This window comes from Homo sapiens, chromosome 13, assembly GCF_000001405.40.
Source record: "Homo sapiens chromosome 13, GRCh38.p14 Primary Assembly".
NCBI classification, from domain to species: domain Eukaryota; kingdom Metazoa; phylum Chordata; class Mammalia; order Primates; family Hominidae; genus Homo; species Homo sapiens.
This window is the reverse complement of record NC_000013.11, coordinates 29,284,135-29,309,171: the sequence shown is the minus strand read 5'-3', so window position 1 is coordinate 29,309,171 and position 25,037 is coordinate 29,284,135. Positions and strand designations below refer to the sequence as shown.

Below are 25,037 nucleotides of genomic sequence, written 5' to 3'. Positions count from 1 at the left end.
GACTCCATGTCTTTGCTATTGTGAAGGGTGCTGCAATAAACATACGCATGCATGTATCTTTATAATAGAATGATTTATATTCCTTTGGGTATACATATAGTAATGGGATTGCCGGGTCAAATGGTATTTCTGCCTCTAGGTCTTTGAGGAATTGCCACACTGTCTTCCACAATGGTTGAACTAATTTACCCTCCCACCCAACCCTCCCAGACAATGTTTACCTGTGTATGCAAAAGTGCTCCTTTGTCTCCACAACCTCACCAGCACCTGTTTTGTTTTGTTTTTAACTTTGTAATAGTAGCCACTTTGACTGCCATAAGATGGTATCTCATTGTGGTTTTGACTTGCATTTCTCTAATGATCAGTGATGTTGAGGTTTTTTTCATATGTTTGTTGGCTACATGTATGTCTTCTTTTGAGAAGTGTCTGTTAATGTTCTTTGCTCACTTTTTAATGGGGTTGTTTCTTATAAATTTGTTTAAGTTCCTTGTAGACTCTGGATATTAGACCTTCGTCAGATGGATAGATTGCAAAAATTTTATCCCAATCTGTAGGTTGCCTGTTCACTCTGATGATGGTTTCTTTTGCCGTGCAGAAGCTCTTTTTAATTAGATCTCATTTGTCAAGTTTTGCTTTAGTCACAATTGCTTTTGGTGTTTTCATCATGAAATCTTTGCCCGTGCCTATGTCCTGAATGGTATTGCCTAGATTTTCTTCTAAGGTTTTTATAGTTTTGAGTTTTACATTTAAGTCTTTAATCCATCTTGAGTTAATATTGTATATGGTGAAAGGAAGGGGTCCATTTTCGTTTTTCTGCATATGGCTAGCCAGCACTCCCAGCACCATTTATTAAATAGGGAATCCTTTCCCCATTGCTTACTTTTGTAAAGTTTGTTGAAGATCAGATGGCTGGAGGCATGTGGTCTTATTTCTGAGTATATGATTCTGTTCCATTGGTCTATGTGTCTGTTCTTGTACCAGTACCATGCTGTTTTAGTTACTGTAGTCTTGTAGTATAGTTTGAAGTCGGGCAGCTTGATGCCTACAGCTTTGTTCTTTTTGGTTAGAATTGTCTTGGCTATTCAGGATCTTTTTTGGTTCCATTCTGTGAAGAATGTCAATGGTAGTTTAATGGGATAGCATTGAATCTATAAATTACTGTGGGCAGTATGACCATTTCCTTTTTCTTTTTTTGACTGAGCACAGGGGACTTTATTGATGGTACATGACAAGGTGGGGCTCCCTAGGCCCCTCCCTCTTCAGGAGATCTGCATGGAAACTCTGAGGAGGGGGGATTCTCAGTGTGGAGGGGGACTAAGTGTCCCCCAGCAGTGAAGGCCTCTCTCTTCCTCTTGTGCTCTCACTGGGGCTGGTGGTCTGGGGGTCTTACTCCTTGGAGGACATGTGGGCCATGAGGTCCATCACCCTGTTGCTGTAGCCAAATTCATTGTCATACCAGGAAATGAGCTTGAAAAAGTGGTCGTTGAGGGCAATGCTAGCCCCAGCGTCGAAGGTGGAAGAGTGGGTGTCGCTGTTGAAGTCAGAGGAGACAAGCTGGTACTCAGTGTAGCCCAGGATGCCCTTGAGGGGGCCCTCTGACACCTGCTTTACCACCTTCTTGATGTCATCATATTTGGCAGGTTTTTCAAGACAGCAGGTCAGATCCACAACTGACAAGTTGGCAGTGGGGACACAGAAGGCCATGCCAGTGAGCTTCCCATTCAGCTCAGGGATGACCTTGGCCACAGCCTTGGCAGCGTCACTAGGGGCAGGGATGATGTTCTGGAGAGCCCCATGGCTATCACACCACAGTCTCCTGGATGGTCCATCCACAGTCTTCTGGGTGGCAGGGACAGCATGGACTGTGGTCATGAGTCCTTCCATGATACCAAAGTTGTCACGGATGACTTTGGCCAGGGGTGCTAAGCAATTCATGGTGCAGGAGGCATTGCTGATGATCTTGAGGCTGCTGTCATAATTCTCATGGGTCACGCCCATCACGAACATCAGGGTGTTGGCAGAGGGGGCAGAAAGGATGACCCTTTTGGCTCCTCCCTGCAAGTGAGCCCCAGACTTCTCCATGATGGTGAAGATGCTGGTGGACTCCACACTGTACTCAGTGCCAGCATCACCCCATTTGATTTTGGAGGGATCTCGCTCCTGGAAGATGGTGATGAGATTTCCAGTGATGACAAGCTTCCTGTTCTCAGCCTTGACAGTGCCATGGAATTTGCCATGGGTAGAACCATACTGGAACATGTAGACCATGTAGTTGAGGTCAATGAAGGGGTCACTGATGGCCACAATATCTACTTTAGCAGAGTTAAAAGCAGCCCTGGTGACCAGACACCTAACATGACCAAATCTGTCGACTCTGGCCTTCACCTTCACCATGATGTCTCAGGGATGCGGCTGGCAATGCAAGAGAAAATGTGGCTGTCTGTCGAACAGGAGAAGCAGGGAGCCGACCATTTTCATGATATTGATTCTTTCTATCCATGAGCCTGGAATGTTTTTCCATTTGTTTGTGTCCTCTGTGATTTCCTTGAGCAGTGGTATGTAGTTTTCCTTGAAGAGGTCCTTCATTCGCCTTGTTGGCTGTATTTCTAGGCATTTTATTCTTTTTGTAGTAATTGTGAATGGGAGTTCATTCATAATTTGGCTCTCTGCTTTCCTGTTGTTGGTGTATAGGAATGCTAGCAATTTTTGCAGACTGATTTTATATCCCGAGACTTTGCTGAAGTGGCTTATCAGCTTAGGAAACTTTTGGGCTGAGATGATGGGGTTTTCTAGATATAGGATCATGTCACCTACAAACAAAGATACTTTGACTTCATCTCTTCCTATCTGAATAATCTTTATTTCATTCTCTTGCCTGATTGCCCTGGCTAGAACTTCCAATACTATGTTGAATAGGAGTGGTGAGAGAGGGCATCCCTGTCTTGTGCTAGTTTTCAAGAACAATGCTTCTAACTTTTGCTTATTCAGTAGGATATTGACTGTGCATTTGTCATATATGGTTCTTATTATTCTGAGGTATGTTCCTTCAATACCTAGTTTATCGAGAGTTTTTAACATGAAGGAATGTTGAATTTTATTAAAGGCCTTTTCTGAATCTATTAGAGATAATCATGAGGGTTTTGTCTTTAGTTCCATTGATGTGATGAATCACATTTATTGATTTGCATATGTTGAACCAACCTTGCATCCTGGGATGAAGCCAACTTGATCATGGTGGATAAGCTTCTTGATGTGCTGCTGGATTCAGTTTGCCAGTATTTTCCTGAGGATTTTTGCATCAATATTCATCAAGGATACTGGCCTGAAGTTTTCTCTTTTTGCTGTATCTCTGCCAGGTTTTGGTATCAGGATAACGCTGGCCTCATAGAATGAGTTAGGAAGGAGTCCCTCCTCTTCAATTTTTTGAAATAGTTTCAGTAGCAATGGTATCAGTTCTTCTTTGTACATCTAGTAGAATTTAGCTGTGAATCCATCTGGTCACGGGTTTTTTTAGGTTGGTAGGCTATTTATTACTGCCTCAGTTTCAGAACTTGTTATTGGTCTATTCAGGGATTCAATTTCTTCCTAGTTCAGTTTTGGGAGGGTGTATGCACCCAAGAATTTATTCATTTCTTCTAGATTTTCTAGTTTATGTGCCTCGAGATATTTATAGTATTTCTGATAGTTGTTTGTATTTCTGTAGGGTCAGTGGTAATATTCCCCTTTTCATTTCTGATTGTTTATTTGAGTCTTCTCTCTTTTCTTCTTTATTAGTCTAGCCAGCAGCCTGTCTCTTTATTACTTTTTTTTTCACAAAACTAGCTTCTGGATTTGTTGATTTTTTAACAGGTTTTTTCATGTCTGTGTCTCCTTCAGTTCTGCTCTGATCTTGGTTATTCCTTGTCTTCTGCTAGCTTTGGGGTCTATTTGCTTTTGGTTCTCTATTTCTATTATTTGAGATGTTAGGTTGTTAACTTACAATCTTTCTAGCTTTTTGACATGGACATTCAGTGCTATAAATTTCCCTCTTAATACTGCTTTAGTTGCAACCCAGAGATTCTGGTACATTGCCTCTTTGTTCTCATTAGTTTCAAAGAACTTCTTGATTTCTGCCTTAATTTCATTTTTACCCAAGAGTCTTTCAGAAGCAGGTTGTTCCATTTCCATGTAGTTTTTAAGTTTTAAGTGAGTTTCTTAATCTTGAATTCTAGTTTGATTGTGCTGTAGTCTGAAAGACTGTTATGATTTGTTGTTTTTTTTTACATTTGCTGAGAAGTGTTTTACTTCTGATTATGTGATCAATTTTAGAGTAAGTGCCATGTGGTGATGAGAAGAATGTATATTCTGTTGTTTTTGAGTGGACAGTTCTGTAGATACCTATCAAGTCCACTTGATCCAGGGCTGAGTTCAGATCCTGAACATCTTTGTTAATTTTCTGTCTTGATCATCTGTCTAATATTGTCAGTGGGGTGTTAAAGTCTACCACTATTATTCTGTGGGAGTTTAAGTCCCTTAGCAGGTCTCTGAGAACTTGCTTTATGAATCTGCATGCTTATGTATTGGGTGCATATATATTTAGAATAGTTAGCTCTTCTTGTTGAATTAAACCCTTTACCATTATGTAATGCCCTTCATCTTTTTTTATCTTTGTTGGTTTATAGTCTGTTTTGTCAGAAACTAGGATTACCACCTCTGCTCTTTTTCTTTTTTTCCATTAGTGTGGTAAAATTTCCTCCATCCCTTTATTTTGAGCCTATGTGTGTCTTTCATGTGAGATGGGTCTCTTGAAAACAGCATACTGATGGGTTTTGGCTCTTTATCCAGCTTGCCATTCTGTGCCTTTCAATCAGGGCAGTTAGCATGTTTACATTTTAGATTGGTATTGTTATGTGTAAATTTGATCCTGTCATCATGATGCTAGTTGGTTATTTTTCAAACTTTTTTTAATGTGGTTGCTTCATAGTGTCCCTGCTCTGTGTACTTCAGTGTGTTTTCATAGTGGCTGGTATTGGTTTTTTCTTTCCATATTTTGTGCTTCCTTTGGGAGCTCTTGCAAGGCAGGCCTGGTGGTGATGAATTCCCTAAGCATTTGCTTGTCTGTAAAGGATCTTAGTTCTCCTTCACTTATGAAACTTAGTTTGGCCAGATCTGAAATTCTGGGTTGGACATTCTTTTCTTTAAGAATGTTGACTATTGGCCTCCAAACTCTTCTGGCTTGTAGATTTTCTACTGAGAAGTCTACTGTTAGTCTGATGGGTTTCCCTTTGTAGGTGACCTGGCCTTTCTCTCTGGCTGCCCTTAACATTTTTTCTTTCATTTAATCTTGGAGAATCTGATGATTCTGTGTCTTGGGGTTGATCTTCTCATGGAGTATCTTACTGGGATTCTCTGCATTTCCTGAATTTGAATGTTGGCATGTCTTGCTAGGCTGGGGAAATTCTCCTGGATGATATCCTGCAGTATGTTTTCCAACTTGGTTCCATTCTCCCCATCTTTTTCAGGTACCCCAATCAGTCATAGGTTTTCTCTCTTTACATAATCTCATATTTTTCAGAGGTTTTGTTCATTGCTTTTCATTCTTTTTTCTCTATTCTTGTCTGCCTGTCTTATTTCAGAAAGATAATCTTTAAGCACTGAGATTCTTTCCTCCTCTCTGTCCATTCTGCTGTGATTACATTGTGAATTTGTCATGTTGTTTTTCAGCTCCATCAGGCCAATTATATTCCTCTCTAAACTGGCTATTCTAGCTATCAGCTCCAGTATTATCATGATTCTTAGTTTCTCTGCATTGGGTTACAACATGCTCCTTTAGCTCAGCTAAGTTTTTTATTACCCACCTTCTGAAGCCTACTTCTGTCAATTCAGCCATCTTAGCCTCAGCCCAGTTCTGTGTCCTTGCTGCAGAGGTGCTGCAGTTATTTGGAGAAGAGGCACTCTGGCTTTTTGAGTTTTCAGCATTTTTGCATTGATTCTTTCTCATCTTTGTGGGCTTATCTACCTTTGATCTTTGAGGTTGCTGACCTTTGAATGAGGTTTTTGTGGGGTCTTTTTTGTTGATGTTGTTGTCTTCTGTTTATTTGTTTTTATTTTATCAGTCAGGCCATTCTACTGTAGGGCTGCTATGGTTTTCTGGGGGTCTGCTCCAGACCTTAGTTGCCTCAGTTTCTCCCATATGTGGTTATCACCAGTGAAGAGCACAAAACAGCAAAGATGGCAGCCAGCTCCTTCCTCTGGAAGCTCCATCCCAGGGGGTACTGACCTACTGCCAGCCTTCATGTACCTGTAGGAGGTGGCCAGAGACCCCAGTTGGGAGGTCTCACCCAGTCAGGAGGAATGGTATCAGGGATCCACCCAAAGAAGCAGTTTGGCTGCTGTCTGGTAGAGCAAGTGTGCTGCATTGGAGGGACCCTTCCTCATCTGGACCGCCTGTCTTCTCCAAAGTCAGCAGGCTGGCATAGCTGAGTCAACTGAACCACAGAGATGGTGGCTGCCTCCTCCCACAGGAACTTGAATCCATCTCAGGGAGACTCCAACCCAGTGCTGGGCTGACTGGGACTCTAAGCTAGTGATTCTTAAGTTGTGAGGTGCCATGGAAATGGGGCCCACAAAATGACACTGCTTGGCACCCTGGATTCAGCTCCCTTCCTAGGGATATGTATGGATGGAATTCCCATCTTCCCAGGGATCCCAGGGCTAGAGTATGTGACACTCCTGGGACTGTGTGTGTGCCTGAGTGGCTGCTCTGCCAAAACTCCACACAGCTCTGTGTATAGACCCAAAGACCTGAAGGCATGGGCTCACAAGGGGATCTCCTGATCTTTGGGTTGCAAAGACCCATGGGAGAAGCATGGTTTTCCAGGTGGGGTTGCACAATCACTCACTGGTTCCCTTGGCTGGGGGTGGGGGTTCCTTTGGCTCTGTGCCACTCCTGGGTGGGCTGTCAGCAGCCCCAGCTTTTCTTCATTCTCTGGTTTGTGTTGTTTGCCTAGTCAGTCCCATTGTGAGAATCTGGATATTTCAATTGAAGGTGCTGAATTCACTTGCCCCTTTTCATTCCTCTGAGTGCTGGAGACTGCAGCTGCTTCTAACTGGCCATCTTGGATCCATCCCCGAAATCCAATTTCTAATGTGATGGTATGGAAGGTGGGGCCTTTGGGAGGTGATTAAATCATGAGAGTGAATCCCTCAGGAATGGGATTAGTGCTTTTATAAAATAGGCCCCCAAAAGCTCATTTGCACCTTCTACCAGGTGAGGACACAGCAAGAAGGCACCATCTATGAGGAATGGTCTCTTACCAGATATTAAATCTTCCCATGCCTTCATCTTGGAATTCCCAGCCATAATTATTAGAAATAAATGTTTATTGTTTATAAGCCACCCAGTTGATGGTATTTTATTAAAGCAGCCTGAACAGACTAAGATAAAACCTATGGATTATACGCACTGTACTAGTGTATCCAGTCATTAACAAATGAAGTTGGTGTTATTTTCCTTTTTCCAATGAGGAATTCAAGGATCAGAGAAGTTAAATAATTGAATCAGGGTCACACAGCAATTAGTGGTAATCTCGGTCTAACTTCAAAGCTCATTCCTTGTTCCCCATGCCATCCAAATTCTGTGATAGAAACTAACAATTCACACTGTAGATTATTAATAAAGTTGTTCCATTCCTTTGAATGCAAATCATGTAGAGAAAGAAATATGTCCAACGTGGCTTTTAACCCAAAAATGTGTAGACCACTCTTTAAAAAAGAGTCTACAACTTGCCATGTTTTTCCCAGGTTGTAGGCACAAAGCAGTGCATGCTGGCAGCTAAGGCAGGCTGGGCCTCTGCTGGGTGACTCTGGGCCACAGCAGCTGTGTAAAGAGGGCCATCACCATCAGAATCACCCCATTCCAGGCCTACACAAAAGGGCAATGAGAGCTGCTGCAGGGTCCTAGGCAAGAGAATAACAGGCCCAGGCTGGCATTTGAAAGATGAAAGGCTACCACCAACAGTTCGGGGTGGGGGGCAAGCTGGAGGGCTTTCCCCTCATCCCTCACATCAGCTAGGCTGGTTGGGTGACTATTGATTAGCAAAGTGTGGGCCCAAAGTGGTTCTCAACAGAAATTTGCTGACTGGTGGGTTAAAGATGAAAGATGTGAAGGCTCTGCAATGCCAAATAAATATGTCACTCTTCTCCAGTTATCTTACAGAATTGATGACTGGCATTTGTTTCCTTCTTCCAGTGTCTTGATCTTGGATGTTCCAGCCTCCAGAACTGTGAAAAATAAATGTTCGTTGTTTATAAGCCGCTCAGTCTTAATTTTTTTATAGTGGCTTGAATAGACTAAGATAAAGCCTGTGGATGATAAGCTCTGTGCTAGTGAATCCAGCCATGGATGAATTAGGTTGCATTCATTTCCTTCTTATTCTTGCGTCTTTTACTACACCCCATGAAGAACTACTGTCTTCAAATAATACACCCCTTGAAGACTTCACTTCAAACACATCAAATACTACTCTTAGTATTTGGCATTTCTTCAATGTAATATAGCTAGTAGAATATATAAGTCTGAAAAGAAATGGAAAGTTTTAAAACAGTGACATGTAATTAAAAGTTTCATGCTCCTCATACTAAGAAATTGGGCCATATGATGGTAGCAATTTGCATAAGAATGCATTTATAGTACAGTAGGCAGATTTCTGAAACATACAAATGTTGAAAATCACAATGGAAAACTCAGCTCCAAAAGACCATCTGCATTAATTACTGTTGGACAAGCTCCCATAGCTCCTCAAGGCTGACAAGCAGGGTGGGCAAAATACCAGGTGTGCAACATTTTAAATACAATATGTGTATATGCTCTTAAATGAAAATTAGGGTTTTAGTGTCCTACTTTTGAAGAGCATCCACAAAAGGTTTCAGACCAGCCTACAGGGGGCTTAATATTAAGGTGGGTCACAAGAGTGTTATAAATTCTCTTCTGGCACTATAGGTATGTCCTGTAATGTCTTCCATATTATCTAAAATTACCTAAAATATTATTCTTGCTATTGTTTTGATGAAAGCATTTAAAAGGCATAGCAGAGAAAGATAAATGGATCTTTTCCCTTACTTGGATTCTTCTGTGACATTTCAATGACAATAGCTAAATAGCACCCTGAGCCACTTAATTTGTAATAGAGGATGAGGTTATTAGGGTTTTAAAATCAAGTGCCCCCCCCTCCAAAATTCAAATTGTTCCAATGAATTTTACTGGACTGCCCAGTAAAATTAGAGACTAATTAAACTGCTGTGAATTTTCTGTGCAATTTTTTTTTTCATGCTGTCTTTAGACCATTTCACAGCTTGCAAGTTTCTCCATAGAGGGCTTGGAAAAAAATGGGGGAGCATATATTTTCAAATTTACAAGGTATCTAATTGTTAGCAGCCGTAGTTCAAGATTTCAAGGGGAGCAAGGCTTGAGAAACCTCTAGCTTTACAAAGAAACAACTCATGTCATTAACCTGAATGGAATGCAGTTCCCCATCATCACCGGCCACTTCTATGGAAACTTCAGGTCTCTGCCAGCATGTTTTCTGTGCACTATGTTATGTCTCTGCACCATATGGCCTTCTGGGACACTCATTTCCCTTTCACAGCACTTAGCATAAACGTAACTCAATAATTAGGTGTGTAAGTACAAGTTTCATGTTGCTCTCTCCTGTGACCCCCATCAGCTCCACAGGGACAAGGACTGTGTCCACCTTATTCACCATGATTTCCCCAGGTATCTAACAAAGCGTTCAGCTTGAAGAGGGTACGCAATTAATATATGTTGAACAAATGGAGGCCCATCCAAATGTTCACCGATCCTTAGTCCCGGGATGTCTGAGAGTTGACTTTGGTGTCACAGCCTGTGATTCCCAGTGCTTCCTGGCTTTCCTTCTTCTGGCCAGAAAGAACAGCAGACAGACCATCTAAGACATGCACTCATGTGGCTCTCCAAATGATGAAGTAGACAGATCCTTCAACCAGAAATTGTATACATCATCTCCATTATATTTTCCTGTCTCTCTGATCTCATGCAAAGAAATGGAGCTCATATTTATTATCTTTATTATTCTCCCACAAAGATTCTTTTAAATGCTTCTATTCTCCTACAAACTCTTCTACCCCCAAACTAATTGCCACTTCCCTGTTGGCTTCACAATGACAAATAAGTTGACAGTGTGACAGCAATCTAGACTCAGCCTTGGGGAGACCACGGTCAGCATAGGGCAGTAAGGGCATCTTCACTGAAGATACCAGTGCAGCCTAATTGCTTTGACCTTGCCTCTTCTGGTGTCAAATCTGGGAGATTCCTGAACACTCCCAAGCGAACAAGAGCTTATGAGGCACCATGATTCTTTCATTACTGGAAAATAACATGCTTTTAGAGTTATTTACATTAAAGGAATGCATATCATATGCTACAGTAAGAATAAGCTCACAAATCACCTAGGACCACAATTCCAGTAGCCATCAAGTGACCCTATTTCTTACTTTGTTTTTTCCTAAGACTGAATATTTTATTTTAGCAAGGTCTTCCTCATTTTCTTCACTAAAGATGTGCACAGAAAGAGAAAATGATACTTGAGAGGACTGGACGAAGGCAGGGAGAACATGGTAGAACAGCTCTGTCTGGCACATGTACACATCATCAAAGTGCTCAACAAACACATTTTGATGATGTTAACAAGCTACTTATATTATCAAATTACAGTATGACCAGAAATCCCTAAATGTGTGAAATCAATAACAATTTATTTTTCAAGAAGCAAAATTAATTTTTATGACACAAGTAGAGTTTCTTTAGCCTACTGAGTAGCAGCCTATTCCCAGGGAATGTTTTTCCTTAGGTAGAGAGGAACTCAAATAATAATGTATCAGTTACTCATTTTTTATACAACTACTAGAAATCCTTCTGTACCTTAGTCTGAATAAAGGAATTTTATTTTCTACAACGCATCATATCAATATGACAGAATCAGAGGGCATATTGACAAGAATTCATCTTCAAATCAATATTTGCAGCTGCAAGTATTTTCCTATTTGCTACAACAGTGCAAGCCAGTTAGAAAAGTCAACAGGTACAGCCCCACTATTAGTGTAAAATTATATGGATCAATGCACTGAAGAGATTTTGTATTTGACATATGAACAGCAGAAAAACTTTTCATAAAAATTTTGAGAGGAAGAACCACTACATGACTAAAACTAAGTTTCAGGAATACTTGAGAGCCTTTCTTTTACACAGCACTGAATAGCATGTTTTGTGTGTGTGTGTGTATGTGTGTACACATATACTCATTAGCACTAAATCCGCAACACTTTCCATTGTTATCACACTGATCTCAATGATCATTATGAACTTACAGGAAATCAATATTATAGGAGTGGATCATATACCTCAAACATGTTTAGGACAGGGCATTAGCTCTTCGCCTGCATCTGAAACCCCTAAGAGGGACAAGTGTAAACAGACCTCAGAATTACTGTAGGGGAGTTGGGAAACTATATGTAAGGTAACTAGCAAGAATAACTAAGTCTCTAAGTCATATTTTTCAATCAAGGTAACTTCAGTAAAATGCAATTAATTGGCTTCCATCGAAGTAAGAATATTTAAATAGCAGAAGTTAGGTCTATAGGTTTTAAAGGCCAACAGGCTTAGGTTGATTCCTGCTACAAAGAAGTTGTATGACTAGGGGTGTGGGGGTTACTTAATTTCTCTAAACTACAGCTTCCTTGAGCATCAGAAGTTGAATATACAAAGCCCTAAGAATACTGCATGATGCATACAGTTCTTAACAAACGTATCTTTTTTAAAAAGGAAATAAGAAACGACTTTCATAAAATATTTTTGTTATTTATATGCCTGGTATCTAAAATACTTATGCATCCTTTCAATTGTCAACAGAATATTACATGTAAGACAAAGATGCCAAGGACATTCATTAGGTAAAATGCAAGTCTCTTCATTAAATGATATTAAGAAACTATACATCCATATGCAGAAAAATGAAACTAGACCCCATCACCATATATAAAAATAAACTCAAAATAAATTAAAGACTTTAATGTAAAACTTGAAACTATGAAAATACTAGAAGAAAAAATAGGAGAAATACTTCGGGACATTGGTCTGGGCAAAGATTTTATGGCGAATACCTCAAAAGCACAGGCAACAAAAGCAAAAATATACAAATAGAATTATGTAAAACTAAAAAGCTTCTGCACAGTAAATGGGACAATCAACAGGCTGAAGATACAACCTACAGAATGGGAGAAAAAAATTGCAAATGATTCATCCAACAAGAGATTAATATCCAGGATATAAAAAGAACTTAAACAACTCAACAGTAAACATCAAAATAATTCAATTAATAAATGAACAAATGAGCTGAATAGACAACCCTCAGAAAAGATATACAAATGGCCACCAGGTATATAAAAAATGTTCAACATCAGTAATCATCAGGGAAATGCAAATCAAAACCACACTGAGGTCATCTCATCCCAGTTAAAATGGTCATCATCAAAAAGACAAAAAGTAACAAACATTGGTGAGAACATAGAGAATGAGGAACTTTTACACACTTGGTGGGCATGGAAATTAGTATAGCCACTATGGAAAACAGTATGGAAGGTTCTCAAAAACCTGAAAATAGGCTGGGGGTTGTGGCTAATGCCACTTTGGGAGGTCAAGGTGGGAGGATTGCTTGAGCCTAGGAGTTCAAGACCAGCCTGGACAATGTAGCAAGACCCCATCTCTACAAAAAAAAAATTTTTTTTAATTGGCCAAGCATGGTGGTGTGTGTCTGTAATCCCAACCACTCAGGTGGGAGGATCACCAGAGCCCAGGGAGGTCCAGGCTGCAGTGAGCCATAATCGCACCACTGCACTCCAGCCTGGGTGACAGAGTGAGACCCTGTCTCACAAACAAACAAACAAACAAACAAACAAACAAAAACCTAAAAATAGAACTACCATATGATCCAGCAATCCTATTGCTGGGTATATATCCAAAGGAAAGGAAATCAGTATGTTCAAGAGATATCTGCACTCCCAAATTTATGGCAGCAGTACCAGTCACAACAGCCAAGGTATAAAATCTGCCTAAGTGTTCATTTAGCAGATAAGGAAAATGTGGTAATGATATGGTTTGGCTGTGTCCCCACCCAAATCTCATCTTGAATTGTAGCTACCATAATCCCCACATGTTATGGGAGGGACCCGGTGGGAGGTAATTGAATCATGGGGGCAAGTTTTTCCCGTGCTGTTCTCATGATAGTAAGTCTCATGAGATCTGATGGTTTTATAAAATGCAGTTCCGCTGCACACACTCCCTTGACTGCTGTCATGTAAGAAATGCCTTTGCTCCTCTTTCACCTTCCACCATGATTGTGAGGACTCCCCAGCCATGGGGAACTGTTGAGTCCATTAAACAAACCTCTTTTGCTTTATAAATTACCCAGTCTTGGGCATTTCTTCATAGTGGTATGAAAATGGACTAATACAGGTATGTATACAAATGGAATACTATGTAGCCATAAAAAAGAACAACATTCAGTTACTTGCAGCAACATGGATGAGCTTGTAGGACATTATTTTATAAGTGAAATAAGCCAAGCACACAAAGATAAATACTAAATGTTCTCATTAACATGTGGAAGCTAAAAAGGTTGATCTCATAGAAGGAGAGAGTAGAATAGTGGTCACTAGAGGTGGGGAAGGTAGGGGGTAGGGGAGTATAGGAAGAAGTTGGTTAATGGATACGAAAGTACATCCAGATAGGAGGAGTAAGTTCTAGTGTTCTATGGCACTATAAGATGACTGTAATTAACAACAATTTCTGGATATTCTCAAATAGCTAGAAGATTGGATTTCGAATGTTCCTAACACATAGAAATGATACATATTTGAGGTGATTAATACACTACTCTGATTTGATTATTACACTGTATAATGTATCAAAATGTCACACTGTGCCCTATACATACATACAATTGTGTGAATTAAAAATAATAAAAGTAAAAAAAAAAAAGGCAACAGCCAGTCAATACGTTATTTTCAAAGACATACTTCAGATGACTCAGCATTTCCACTTTTAAGAATGCATCCTAAGAACATATGGGAAACCTGTGCCTCATTGTGTAGGAAAGGAATAACTAAGCAGGCTTGAATTGCTTAAACCCTGCACATTTCCAAGAAGAGCCTGTTTCATGACTGGCCACTGGCCAGCTCCTGAGAGCTGGGCTTTTAAATGTTCTAACTCACAAGAGCATTTTGCATGCCCAAGGTCCTGAGCCATACTGCATCAATTTGCCTAGTTTACACATAGAAAAGATGCTGTGTGTATGTGTGACTGATCCATAACAAAAACCCTGGACAATCAGGCTCAGATGTTTTTCCCTCAATGGCAAAATCTGTTCATGTTTTCACACATCATTGCTGGAAATATGAAGTATATGTTGTGTGATTCCACTGAGAGAGGACTTTTGGAAACTTGTGCCTTGTTTCATTTGAACTTTGCCCCATGAGCTTTTTCCCTTTGGTGAATTTACTCTGTATCCTTTCATTGTAATACATTATAATCATAAATATACCAACTTCTAAGTCCTATGAGCCCTTCTAGGGAAATCATCAAGCCTGAAAATAGTCTTGAAAACCCCTAACAAATATGATTTTGCAAAATAAATTTATTAAATTAATTGTACTTCATTGTTTCATGATAGTGAAATACTGAAAGCAACCTAAATGAACAGGAGACAAGCAGTTCTCCAAACTATGGTTAATCAATATGCAGTTATTACAACATCATTAAAAAGAACCTTTTCACATATTTATCATGATATTGGAAAATTATTAGGATATAACGTTAACTGTAAAAGCAGGATACAGAACTATACATAAAGAATAACTGAGGTATGAAAAAAATCATACCCATATAGAGAAAAGACTGGAAGGAAATATACCAATATATGTTATTAGTGTCTAATGATAAACTGTGAGGCTTTGAGATATTTTTGTTTCATTTTTTTCTGTAACCTTCATGCTCTTTCCTTAGAACAAATTATTATCCTTTTTATTCAATTATCTGTATATATTTTATAGCAAGAATTGAAACATGTCTGGAAAAATTCTGACAATATAGAAAGAACAAAATTTAAAAATGAAAGTTCTTTTTCCTCATTACAACTTTTCCTCCAATTGAACACCACACTGATAATGGCTCTTGGCTATTTAAATGATATTTTCCAACTTTTTCTATAAATTTACAAAAAGGCATACATAAAATGATTTATTTTATTTCAGTTTTATAATAATGAGATTGTGTTCTATAGCTTTCTACCTTTAATGACATGTTATGGACATCTTTCCATGTAATTCATGTAGATCTATCTCATTTTTTAATAACTACATAAGCATTTATTAAATGGCTATATCATAACTTATTTACATATTTCCATATTGACAGATATTTAGATTGTTTCCAACTTTTTTAGCATTGTAACCAATGCTGCATAGAAAGTTCCTGCACATATATCATTATTGCTTGAACAAGGATGTTTTTGAGAGGGTCCTAGAAGTAGAAATACTGGATTACTTGTCACATAAATTTTCATAGTTATTGGCAAATTGCTCTCAAAAGAGTGTACCAATTTATATTCTCACTAACACTACAAGAGTGTTTGTGTACCACATTCTTACCAACGCTGGATGTAATAAATCTTTTTAAAGGTTTATAATCCAGTATTAAAAAGACTGTATCTCATTCTAAAAAGGGAATATGTTTAGTTATTAGTAAATTTGAATATCTTTTCATATGTTTATAGCCATTGACCACTTTGTACTTCTAGTGTGTAAAATATGCATTCATATCTTTACCTGTTTTTCAAATTAAGTTGTTTTTTGCTTATGATTTTCAGGGGTTGTTTAAACTGCATGTATATTCACAGTTTGTTGCAGCATTTTCTATCAGTTTATCATCTTCCTCAACTCTATGATGTCTTTCATTGTAGAAAGTTTTAAATTTTTATGTGATTTTATGTAATTTTGTCATTTAAAAATGTTTCTAGGTTTTATGTCATACTAAAAAAGACTTTCCATATCCCCACATTTTAAACTAATTATTTCATTGTCAGAAAAAAATTAAGACACATAATTAAAGTAATTGTCAATTATGTTGCTCAATACAACTTTTTAAAATTTACAGAATTAAAGTCTTTAACATTTGTGCTAGGAAATAAGTTTCTCTCTCCTGATGCAATGGCAGGCTCTTTTTTTCCCTTGAGTGTGTTTCTTCTTCTACCTTTAGCCAAGAAGCTCTAAGCCTAGTTTTGTCATGCTTCTCTCTTCTATTACTCAGATTTTTATCTCTATAATCCTGTGCCCTTTACTGCAAACTACACTGGATCTTTTCCGAAATGAAAAAAATGAGTAAATGACAAATAAATTAGAAAACAATTAAACAAATAATAGAAAGTGATTAAATAAATCTTCAATAAAACTTACTATATTTAATTTAAACTTTTTTCAGGTCATTCTTTTCTTAATCCATCGTACCGTGAACTCCTGATCTGCTAGAATTAACTGGAGTCCAGATAATAAGATTATAGGCCTCTCACTCTCACTCTAATTACTAGATTACAAATCCGTGTAGTTACTTACAAGTCCCTCAAGGGTTAAGACTGTTCTAATTATCTTTGAATCCAAGTCGCCTGTGAATTAAAGCAAGCACTCAGATGTTTGTTCAATGAGTGAACCAGAAAAGAATCACTCACCAAAAACTCACATCAGAAATCTAGGTTAAAGGAAACAGCCCAAGTACTTCCAGGGTACATTCTATTGTAGGTACACGTTGAGTGGACAACAGGGGGTGACGGTAATTGAGCAGGTGACGTTGACATGCAAGAGCTCAGCCATCATCAGCTTAGAGCCACCAAGGGAAGGAAGCAAAGTATCACAGCTGAGAAGTGTTTCCAACAAGGGTTAAAACAGTAAGAGTTAGTGTTATCTCAGTAATTAAAATAACTCAAACACCTCACAGTCCCAAGAAATCCAATTATTTGGGATTTAACTACAATCTGCATGCCTACCTTCTGCTTTTTAATTGGCTTGATAACAGAACAAGGTAATGTGAAACTAGATCTCATTTTAGAAACTGGACTTTATTTAAAACCAACAGGATACATGCAAAGCTAAAATTCTGTAATAAAATTTACCTTTTAGCAGAAATGATTTTGAAATGCAAGGAGGGCTTAGATGTTAGAGTTGGATGAAACTGAGAAAAGAAAGTCCTGGTTACATTTAAAATGAGTTTCTGCTTTGTTTTCCCAACTATGTCCTGCCTTGACAACTCAATTCCATTTTCTGTGGGTTTTTAGGCAATGTGTGTGGCCTCCTATCTGAGCTGGGAAACAAAATGAAGGCCTCTCCCTCATGGATCTTAGTCTCCTGATAATGAAAAAAGAAGGACAAGACATATTCTAAACGAGCGAGCCCTACGACCTCAACCATCTCATGAGGTCAGCAGGACCGAGGCTGATGGAGGTGATCACCTGTGAGCTCAGCTCAAAGGCTGGAAAAGGCAGAGCCACCAGGGGTTGCTGGACACCTGCAATATTCCCAGGGAGCCACAGCTGAGGGTCTGCCCAGTGGCTGGCATGGGGTTCTCTGCTGTGTAAACAAATGTTTGTTTAAAACACCCTAGTACCTCCCCTCTGAGTCAATGATGCAAAAATGTATACAACGTTTTATGCCTTTTGAAAACAAAAATGGAGGCTTAAGACACCATTGAAATTAGTTTCTTGGTAGATTTGGGCCAAGACTCAGGAACTGTCCATGGCGTGTCTCACTGGCTCTCCAGTGGCTGGGGCTGCCCCTCACTGTGGGCCCTGGAGGAGGAGACCACAGGGTTAACAACAGTGGAGAGACGAAACTAGGAGAGAGGTGCGCTGGGGGCTGCTGTGAGCTGCCTCTACCAGGCGGGCTCTGTGATTTGCTATCAGTGTCTCTAAGAAGCAACCTCCTCTGGACAGTTCCACAAGAGGCTTGGAACAGTTGGGTTCTCGGGTACCTGCTGGAGGCCATACTAACAGAAAGGCAAAGGGCACGTCTCTCATTTATCTTAAATATCTGGTTGTCTTGTTGCTTTATTATGTGACCATCTGCAACAAGACACAGGTACTTTCTGAGCACTCATTGTGGCAAGTGCTCTCAAATCACTAGGGGAATTGCAACTTTCATTTATTCGGCAGCTATTTGTTGAGAGCCTGCTTTGTGCTGGGCCCATTGTTGGTGCTAAGGATTTGGGGATGAGTACAACAGCCACGACTGCACATATGGGGCAGAGAGACTTCAGCCAATTGCAGACATCATTAGACAACTAAACTCGTGAGCAGAGCTACAAGGGGAAGAGCCCTGAACAGGCAACATTTAGGTCAAGACCTGAAGGAGAGACAGGTGTCACCAGAGAAAGGAGAGGAAGAGGGAACAGGTTGTGTGGGAGGGAATGGGGTGTAAGAGATGTTCCTGGCCAGGCGTGGTGGTTAACGCCTGTAATCCCAGCACTTTGGGAGGCCGAGGCAGGCGGATCACGAGGTCAGGAGATCGAGACCATCCTGGCTAATGCGGTGAAACCCTGTCTCTACTAAAAATACAAAAAAATTAGCCAGGCGTGGTGGCAGGCGCCTGTAGTCCCAGCTACTCAGGAGGCTGAGGCAGGAGAATGGCGTGAACCCGGGAGGCGGAGGTTGCAGTGAGCTGAGATCGCGCCACTGCACTCCAGCCTGGGAGACAGAGCAAGACTCCATCTCAAAACAAACAAACAAACAAACAAAAACAGATGTTCCTAGCAGAGACACTTACAGGAAAGGGAAACCAAGATGCAGCCTGTTTTCAGGACTCCCACCTTAAAGGGAACATGACCTAGGAAAGAGCTACCTTTTAACTGGTAAGTAAATATTATGGGTTTATAGACAAAGGCAGGAAAAATAATCCCTTAGAGAAAGGCACCGAAAGTATTACAGGGGCTTTTCAGTTTTCACTTTTTCTCCCCTAACTTTGGAATTGTACAGGCATCTTTATTGAAGATATGTAGAACGACAGGTAAGTTCTTCATGGCAACATGGTTTTCCTCTGCACTAGTGAATGCAGGTTTCTGAGGGGGAAATTCAGGGGAAAAAGAAATTTGATCATGGGCAGAGCAGAATGTGGGGTGTGGAGGTGGGGTAAAGCAAAAACATCAATAAACACCAATTCTGGAGAGTACATGGTAGGTTTCATTAAAACCCATCTTCTGCCTATGAGAGACTGGAAGGGGTCTGAACCCTCTAAAATTTCTTCACATTCCAGTTAACCCTCTAAAACTCAAATAGCCTTTATGAAATGCCTACTTTGGGCCAGGCGCAGTGGCTCAAGCCTGTAATCCCAGCACTTTGGGAGGCCGAGGTGGGTGGATTACAAGGTTAGTAGTTCAAGACCAGCCTGGCCAAGATGGCGAAACCCTGTCTCTACTAAAAATTAAAAAAAAAATTACCCGGGTGCAGTGGTGGGTGCCTGTAATCCCAGCTACTTGGGAGGCTCAGGCAGGAGAATCACTTGAACCCGGGAGGCAGAGGTTGCAGTGAGCCAAGATTGCACCACTGCACTCCAGCCTGGGCGACAGAGCGAGACTCCGTCTCAAAAAAAAAAAAAAAAGAAATGCCTACTTTGTTCTATGTCCTTTCATTTATGTTAATTCTCAGAACAACCCCATGGAGTAGGAACTATTATCCCCACACATTTTTTAACTGACTGAGAAATATGAAAAGATTCCTTAATGTTGATTTGTCCCAAGTCCAGTGGCTAAGACAGGCGGAGCTGGACTGGTGTCCACCCAGCCTCTCTGCAGGAGTGAGGCATCTTTACCATCCCATCCATTAGTCCATACTTGAACTTTGCTGTTTTTACAGATATAAGGCTGTTTAGTCACATATCTGTAAAAGCTAAAACAGTTTATATCACATGCTTCAATTACTACTTAGTCCTGGAGCTCTGATGAGCATCAGTGCCCCTGAACCAAAATCTTCTACAGTTACATGGTAGGAAAAAAGGGTATTTCAATTTGCTATACAAAAATAGGAGAACACTTATTTATTTTTTATAAAGGATTTTTTTTTAAACCCAGCTAGATTTGTTTTTGCATATGCAAAGTCAATCCAGAAAAAGTAGTGTTGCAAAACAACCCTGGGACAAAGAGCAGATTTGGCTGTTTTGCAGTCTCTGAGTCCGCTTAAAATGCAGCACGTGAAACGCTGAGACCAGGTGTAGGTGCTACTCTGTGATGATGGACAGGCATTATGGAGTGCCCTGCTGTTCTCACATTCTCACTAGTGAATCAGTAGGTAGTGGAGGGGCAGAATGCGAGTTAACCATTTTGCCAAAACTCCCCCAGAATCCATCTCCCAAGTCAAGTGGAGCCTCCAGCCTTAGACAAAGACAAGGTGGTGCAGCTCCTTTCCAATATCAGCCCCCTCATCCCATGCTGCAGGGCCTGGCTTCCTGCCCTAGTGCCACCCCCACCACCTAACAGGCCTGGCTCCAGTAATTCTTTACTTTTCTCACCTTTACTCCCTCCTTTTCTTGACATTTCTATACACAGAGGCAAGTGTCACTCATTCTAAAAAGCAAGAATTTCCTTTGCCCACTTCCCCTTTAAGCTACCATCCTATTCTCCTTCCCTTCCCCTTTCCATTCCTCAAAGAACAGTCTGAGCTCATGGCTTCCATTTCCTCAGCTGCTGCCCCGCTCTGTGCTCTGAAAGCTCTTCTTTCTCCAGATGAGCCTTCTTCATCTGCTGCTCCCATTTTGGTATTAGCAAGGTGGCAATCGCAGTTACCTTTGCACTTTCCATGTCCTCCCAAGCAAACTCACATCCCCATTGCCTCCATTCCCAGAGCCACAAGGATAAGCCCATGAATTCCACATGGAAATCTCCAACTTAAAACTTTCCTTAGAGCTCTTGGCTTATTCCAGCTGTCTACTGGACATTGCTAGATGGAGGTTTCCCAGGCACCTCAAACTCATCTCATCTAAAGCTAGATTTACTGTCTTTCCTCTACACTTGTCCTCCTTTTGCCTTCAGTCTAGTCACTAAGGGCAGTATTAGCCATTCAGTTGTATAAGTGAGAGAGCCTGCAGCCTCCTGACCAGGACTGACACGTCAGGCTGTATAGCAGCTCATTTAAACATCGGTCAACGTTTTAATAATTGTTTCTCTGTGCTTCTCCGCCATCAGCCTGTGAACCCTGTGGGGACAGGAATCGTGTCTCACTCATCTGCACATCTCCAGAACATCCTATCCCACAACATAATACCCGCTAACCTCATCACTGAATTGGTAAGTCTGGAGAAACTATTCAATGTGCTTTGGTCTGGAATAGGAAGAAAAGCAATTATTACACTCATAAAAATTTATACCTAGGAAAGCAAGTCTAGTAAATATCAGATGCCTGTAGGGCAGCTTGAAAGAATGTTTGAGTTTTCAACAAAGAAAGGGATAGCTCATCATAAGAAGGGACAAGCAAGTTTACAGAGTTAAAATTTTGCCTCTGGAGAAAGTAACACACATGTGTTCAGTGAGGGAGGACTGGGTGAATGTTTACACACACACACCACACACATACAGAGTGATGTCAGCTTTTAGGGAAAGGAGCACACTTCTCAAAAATGCATTCTTTTATGGAAAACGCAAATAGTGTGGGGTGTGCTCCACCACGAGCGAGAATAGGGAAGGACCACACAGAGGTTAAGGCATCCCCACTGGAACTCCTAACCGGGTAATCTCAAAGAGAGCCTGGCCTGAAGCACAAAGCCCTGGGCATCGCCCTGCTTCACACCATCCCCCTTCACACACATGCAATCTATTGGTAATGGACAAATTGCAGCCCACAGATGGAATTCTGATAGTCCTTAGCTGGATATTTATACTATTATTATAAGAAAAGGACTGGGAACATATACAACATCCATTTATTTCTGGATGCCATTGTGTGACCTTGGACAACTCGTTTCACTTGCTGCATCTGTAATAATTTCCCTGCCTACCTCTTAGGGTCTTTGTGAGAACCAAATTAGATTCTGTATATTAGTGTTTTATAAAGTAATACAAAGTGGAAGAAAATTGTTATCAAGAGTGCATGGCTTGGTGGCTCATGCCTGTAATCCCAGCACTTTGGGAGGCCAAGGCGGGCAGATCACCTGAGATCAGTTCGAGACCAGCCTAGCTAACATGATGAAACCCTGTCCTTACTAAAAATACAAAAATTAGCCCGGTGTGGTGGTACACGCCTGTAATCACAGCTACTCAGGAGGCTGAGGCAGGAGAATCACTTGAACCTAGGAGGTGGAGGTTGCAGTGAGCTGAGGTCGTGCCACTGCACTCCAGCCTGGGTGACAAAGCCAGACTCTGTCTCAAATAAGTAAGATAGATAGATAGATAGATAGATAGACAGACAGACAGACAGACAGACAGATAGATAGTGCATGGCTTTCAGAAATCCCTCATGTAGCAGAAACACTTGGAAAAGCAATGAAACTTATGGTCACACTACCTGCCTTTCCTCTTCTCAACATTTGAAATACCTTATTTCCATTTAACTTCACTTCCATGAAAACAGCCACTCTCTCTACACATTTTACCATGCTATTATATAACTCTTTAAACAGACACTAGAGAGACTAGCTGAGTTAACTTACTGTATTCCATTACCCAGCTTCAACAAAGAGCTACGTGTGGCCAGTGTTGTTTCATCTTTTATGTCATAGACTCTGCTCACCACCATCCTAGGTTATTTTGAAGGAAATACCAGATAGCATTTCATATATGTGAATTTCTAAAACATGACTCTTTTTAAAAACATAGCCACAAATACATCAAACTCAAAATATTAACAATAATTCGGGTGCGGTGGCTCATGCCTGTAATCCCAGCACTTTGGGAGGCTGAGGCGGGCAAATCACCTGAGGTCAGAAGTTCGAGACCAGCCTGGCCAACATGGTGAAACCCCAACTCTACTAAAAATACAAAAATTTGCCAGGCATGGTGGCACGCATCTGTAATCCCAGCTACTTGGGAGACTAAGGCAGGAGAATCACTTGAAAGCAGAAGGTGGAGACTGCAGTGAGCCAAGATCACGCCACTGCATTCCAGCCTGGGCAAAAGAGAGAGACTTGTCTAAACAAAAAATTAACAATAATTCCTTAATATCACCATATAGCCAGTGTTCACATTTTCCCAATATCTTCCAAAGTTTTTTTGAATTTTTGTTTGAATTTCAAATTTTTGTTCAAATGTTTGTTTGAATTAGGATCTAAAATTAGCTCCAAAATTGGCCTATATGTTTACATTTTTTTGTAATCTACAGGTTCCCATGCCCTCTTCATTTTCCCCAAAGATGTTTGGTTTTTATTTGTCACACTTTGTGTTGTTGTTGCTCTTGCCGAGTACATCAGAGGGTGTGTCCCATAGAGCTTCCCAGAGTCTAGGTTTGCTGATTCAATCCTCATGGTGTTTTTAACGTGCTTCTCTGCATTCCTTTGTACTTCTAGTAAATCAGTAGTTAACTCCAGAGGCTGCACCAAATCCATTTTTCCCCCAAAGACTAATTCCCAGGTAATCTGTATATATTTCCATCTGGACAGTTCGTAAAGTCTGGTGATTCCTCATACTGATGATCATTGCTTTTATCAACTCATTCATCAGAAGAGGCAAAAAGGGATGTTTTATCATGTGTTTTGTATTAGCTGGAATACTTTTATAAAGAGAAACTTCCCCCTCACCAGCTATTTGGTTATCTTGAGATACAGACTGAGTAGGAGAAATTACTAAAAGGCTTTTCTTTTCCTTTATTTACCAGATTTTAAAATAATGAGGTCATTTCCTAGCATCCTCCAATGTGACTAGTTTTGGAGGTTTTTTTTTTTTTTTGGTTTTGTTTTTTATCATATGCCCTCATTGATGGGTATTCATCCATTGTAAATACTAATCTTATTGATATTCAAACTCTTTCAGTTTTTCCTTTTTTTTTTCTTTTTTACCAGTAGGAGCTTATTCAAGTTGACCCCATAGGTCCTTTCAACAGAATCCTCATAGTTTTTATATTCTTCTTAGCCAGCTAGCATGGCAAGATGTTCTAGGATCTACATTTCTTGTCCTAGACCTGAAACAGCTGGTTCTTCAAGGATCCCTATCTCCCTCTACTGGGAAGTCCATTCAGACATCACAACCTGGGCTCTAGGAGTGCTCATTATGACTGGTTTAGTCACCACTTACAACTTTCCAGTAGATAGAGCTGAGAATATTGTTTTAAAGATAAATTTCAGATGAGTTCTGACTTTATCCTATAATACCCCTAATCCCATTCATCCCATAATACACATGTTCAGAATAACAGCAGATACAGAATCACAGTACTAACACCACCACCAATAATTTCAGATTTTCGTTGCAATTCTTTCTGAATCTGAGGTATATACCATTGGGAATGTACTTCTCTGTGTGGTTATGCCATCAACGGGCTATGCAATTACTTCCATTTGTTTAATTTCATTTTTGAGTTTTAGATATTATCTTTTAACATTTAATGTATAATTGTGTAAAATGTCTATGTAATTTTACATCTACAAAACAAGGTGCATTCAAAATGTATCAGTAACCTGTACCTCTTAGTCTCTCCTTTTATTCCTTCTTTCACCCTGAAGGCCATCATTTTTTTTTTTTAAAAAATAGCTTATTCTTCTATTGCTTTTTCTTAATATAAGTTCATATATAACATTTTCCTATTGTTTAGATAAAACATAGTCGACTACATTTTTTCCTCCATCTTTTGTTGCTCAATGACCTCCTGGAAATCACTTTCTAGTAATGTTGATACAAAGAGCTATTTCCCCATTCATGTAACAGCTACATAGTACCGCATCCTGTGGATATACCACAATCTGTTCAGTGAGCCCCCTATTAATGGACATTTGAGTTGTTTTCAGTCTTT

General features: G+C 40.1%; 1 protein-coding gene and 1 pseudogene across 12 annotated transcripts in view; both read right to left on the bottom strand.

The window, feature by feature from the left end:
• MTUS2 (microtubule associated scaffold protein 2) overlaps nucleotides 1–25,037 on the bottom strand; it is a 685,985-nt gene that overhangs the window by 196,776 nt on the left and 464,172 nt on the right. The window lies entirely within an intron of this gene.
• GAPDHP69 (glyceraldehyde 3 phosphate dehydrogenase pseudogene 69) lies at nucleotides 1,198–2,465 on the bottom strand (annotated as a pseudogene).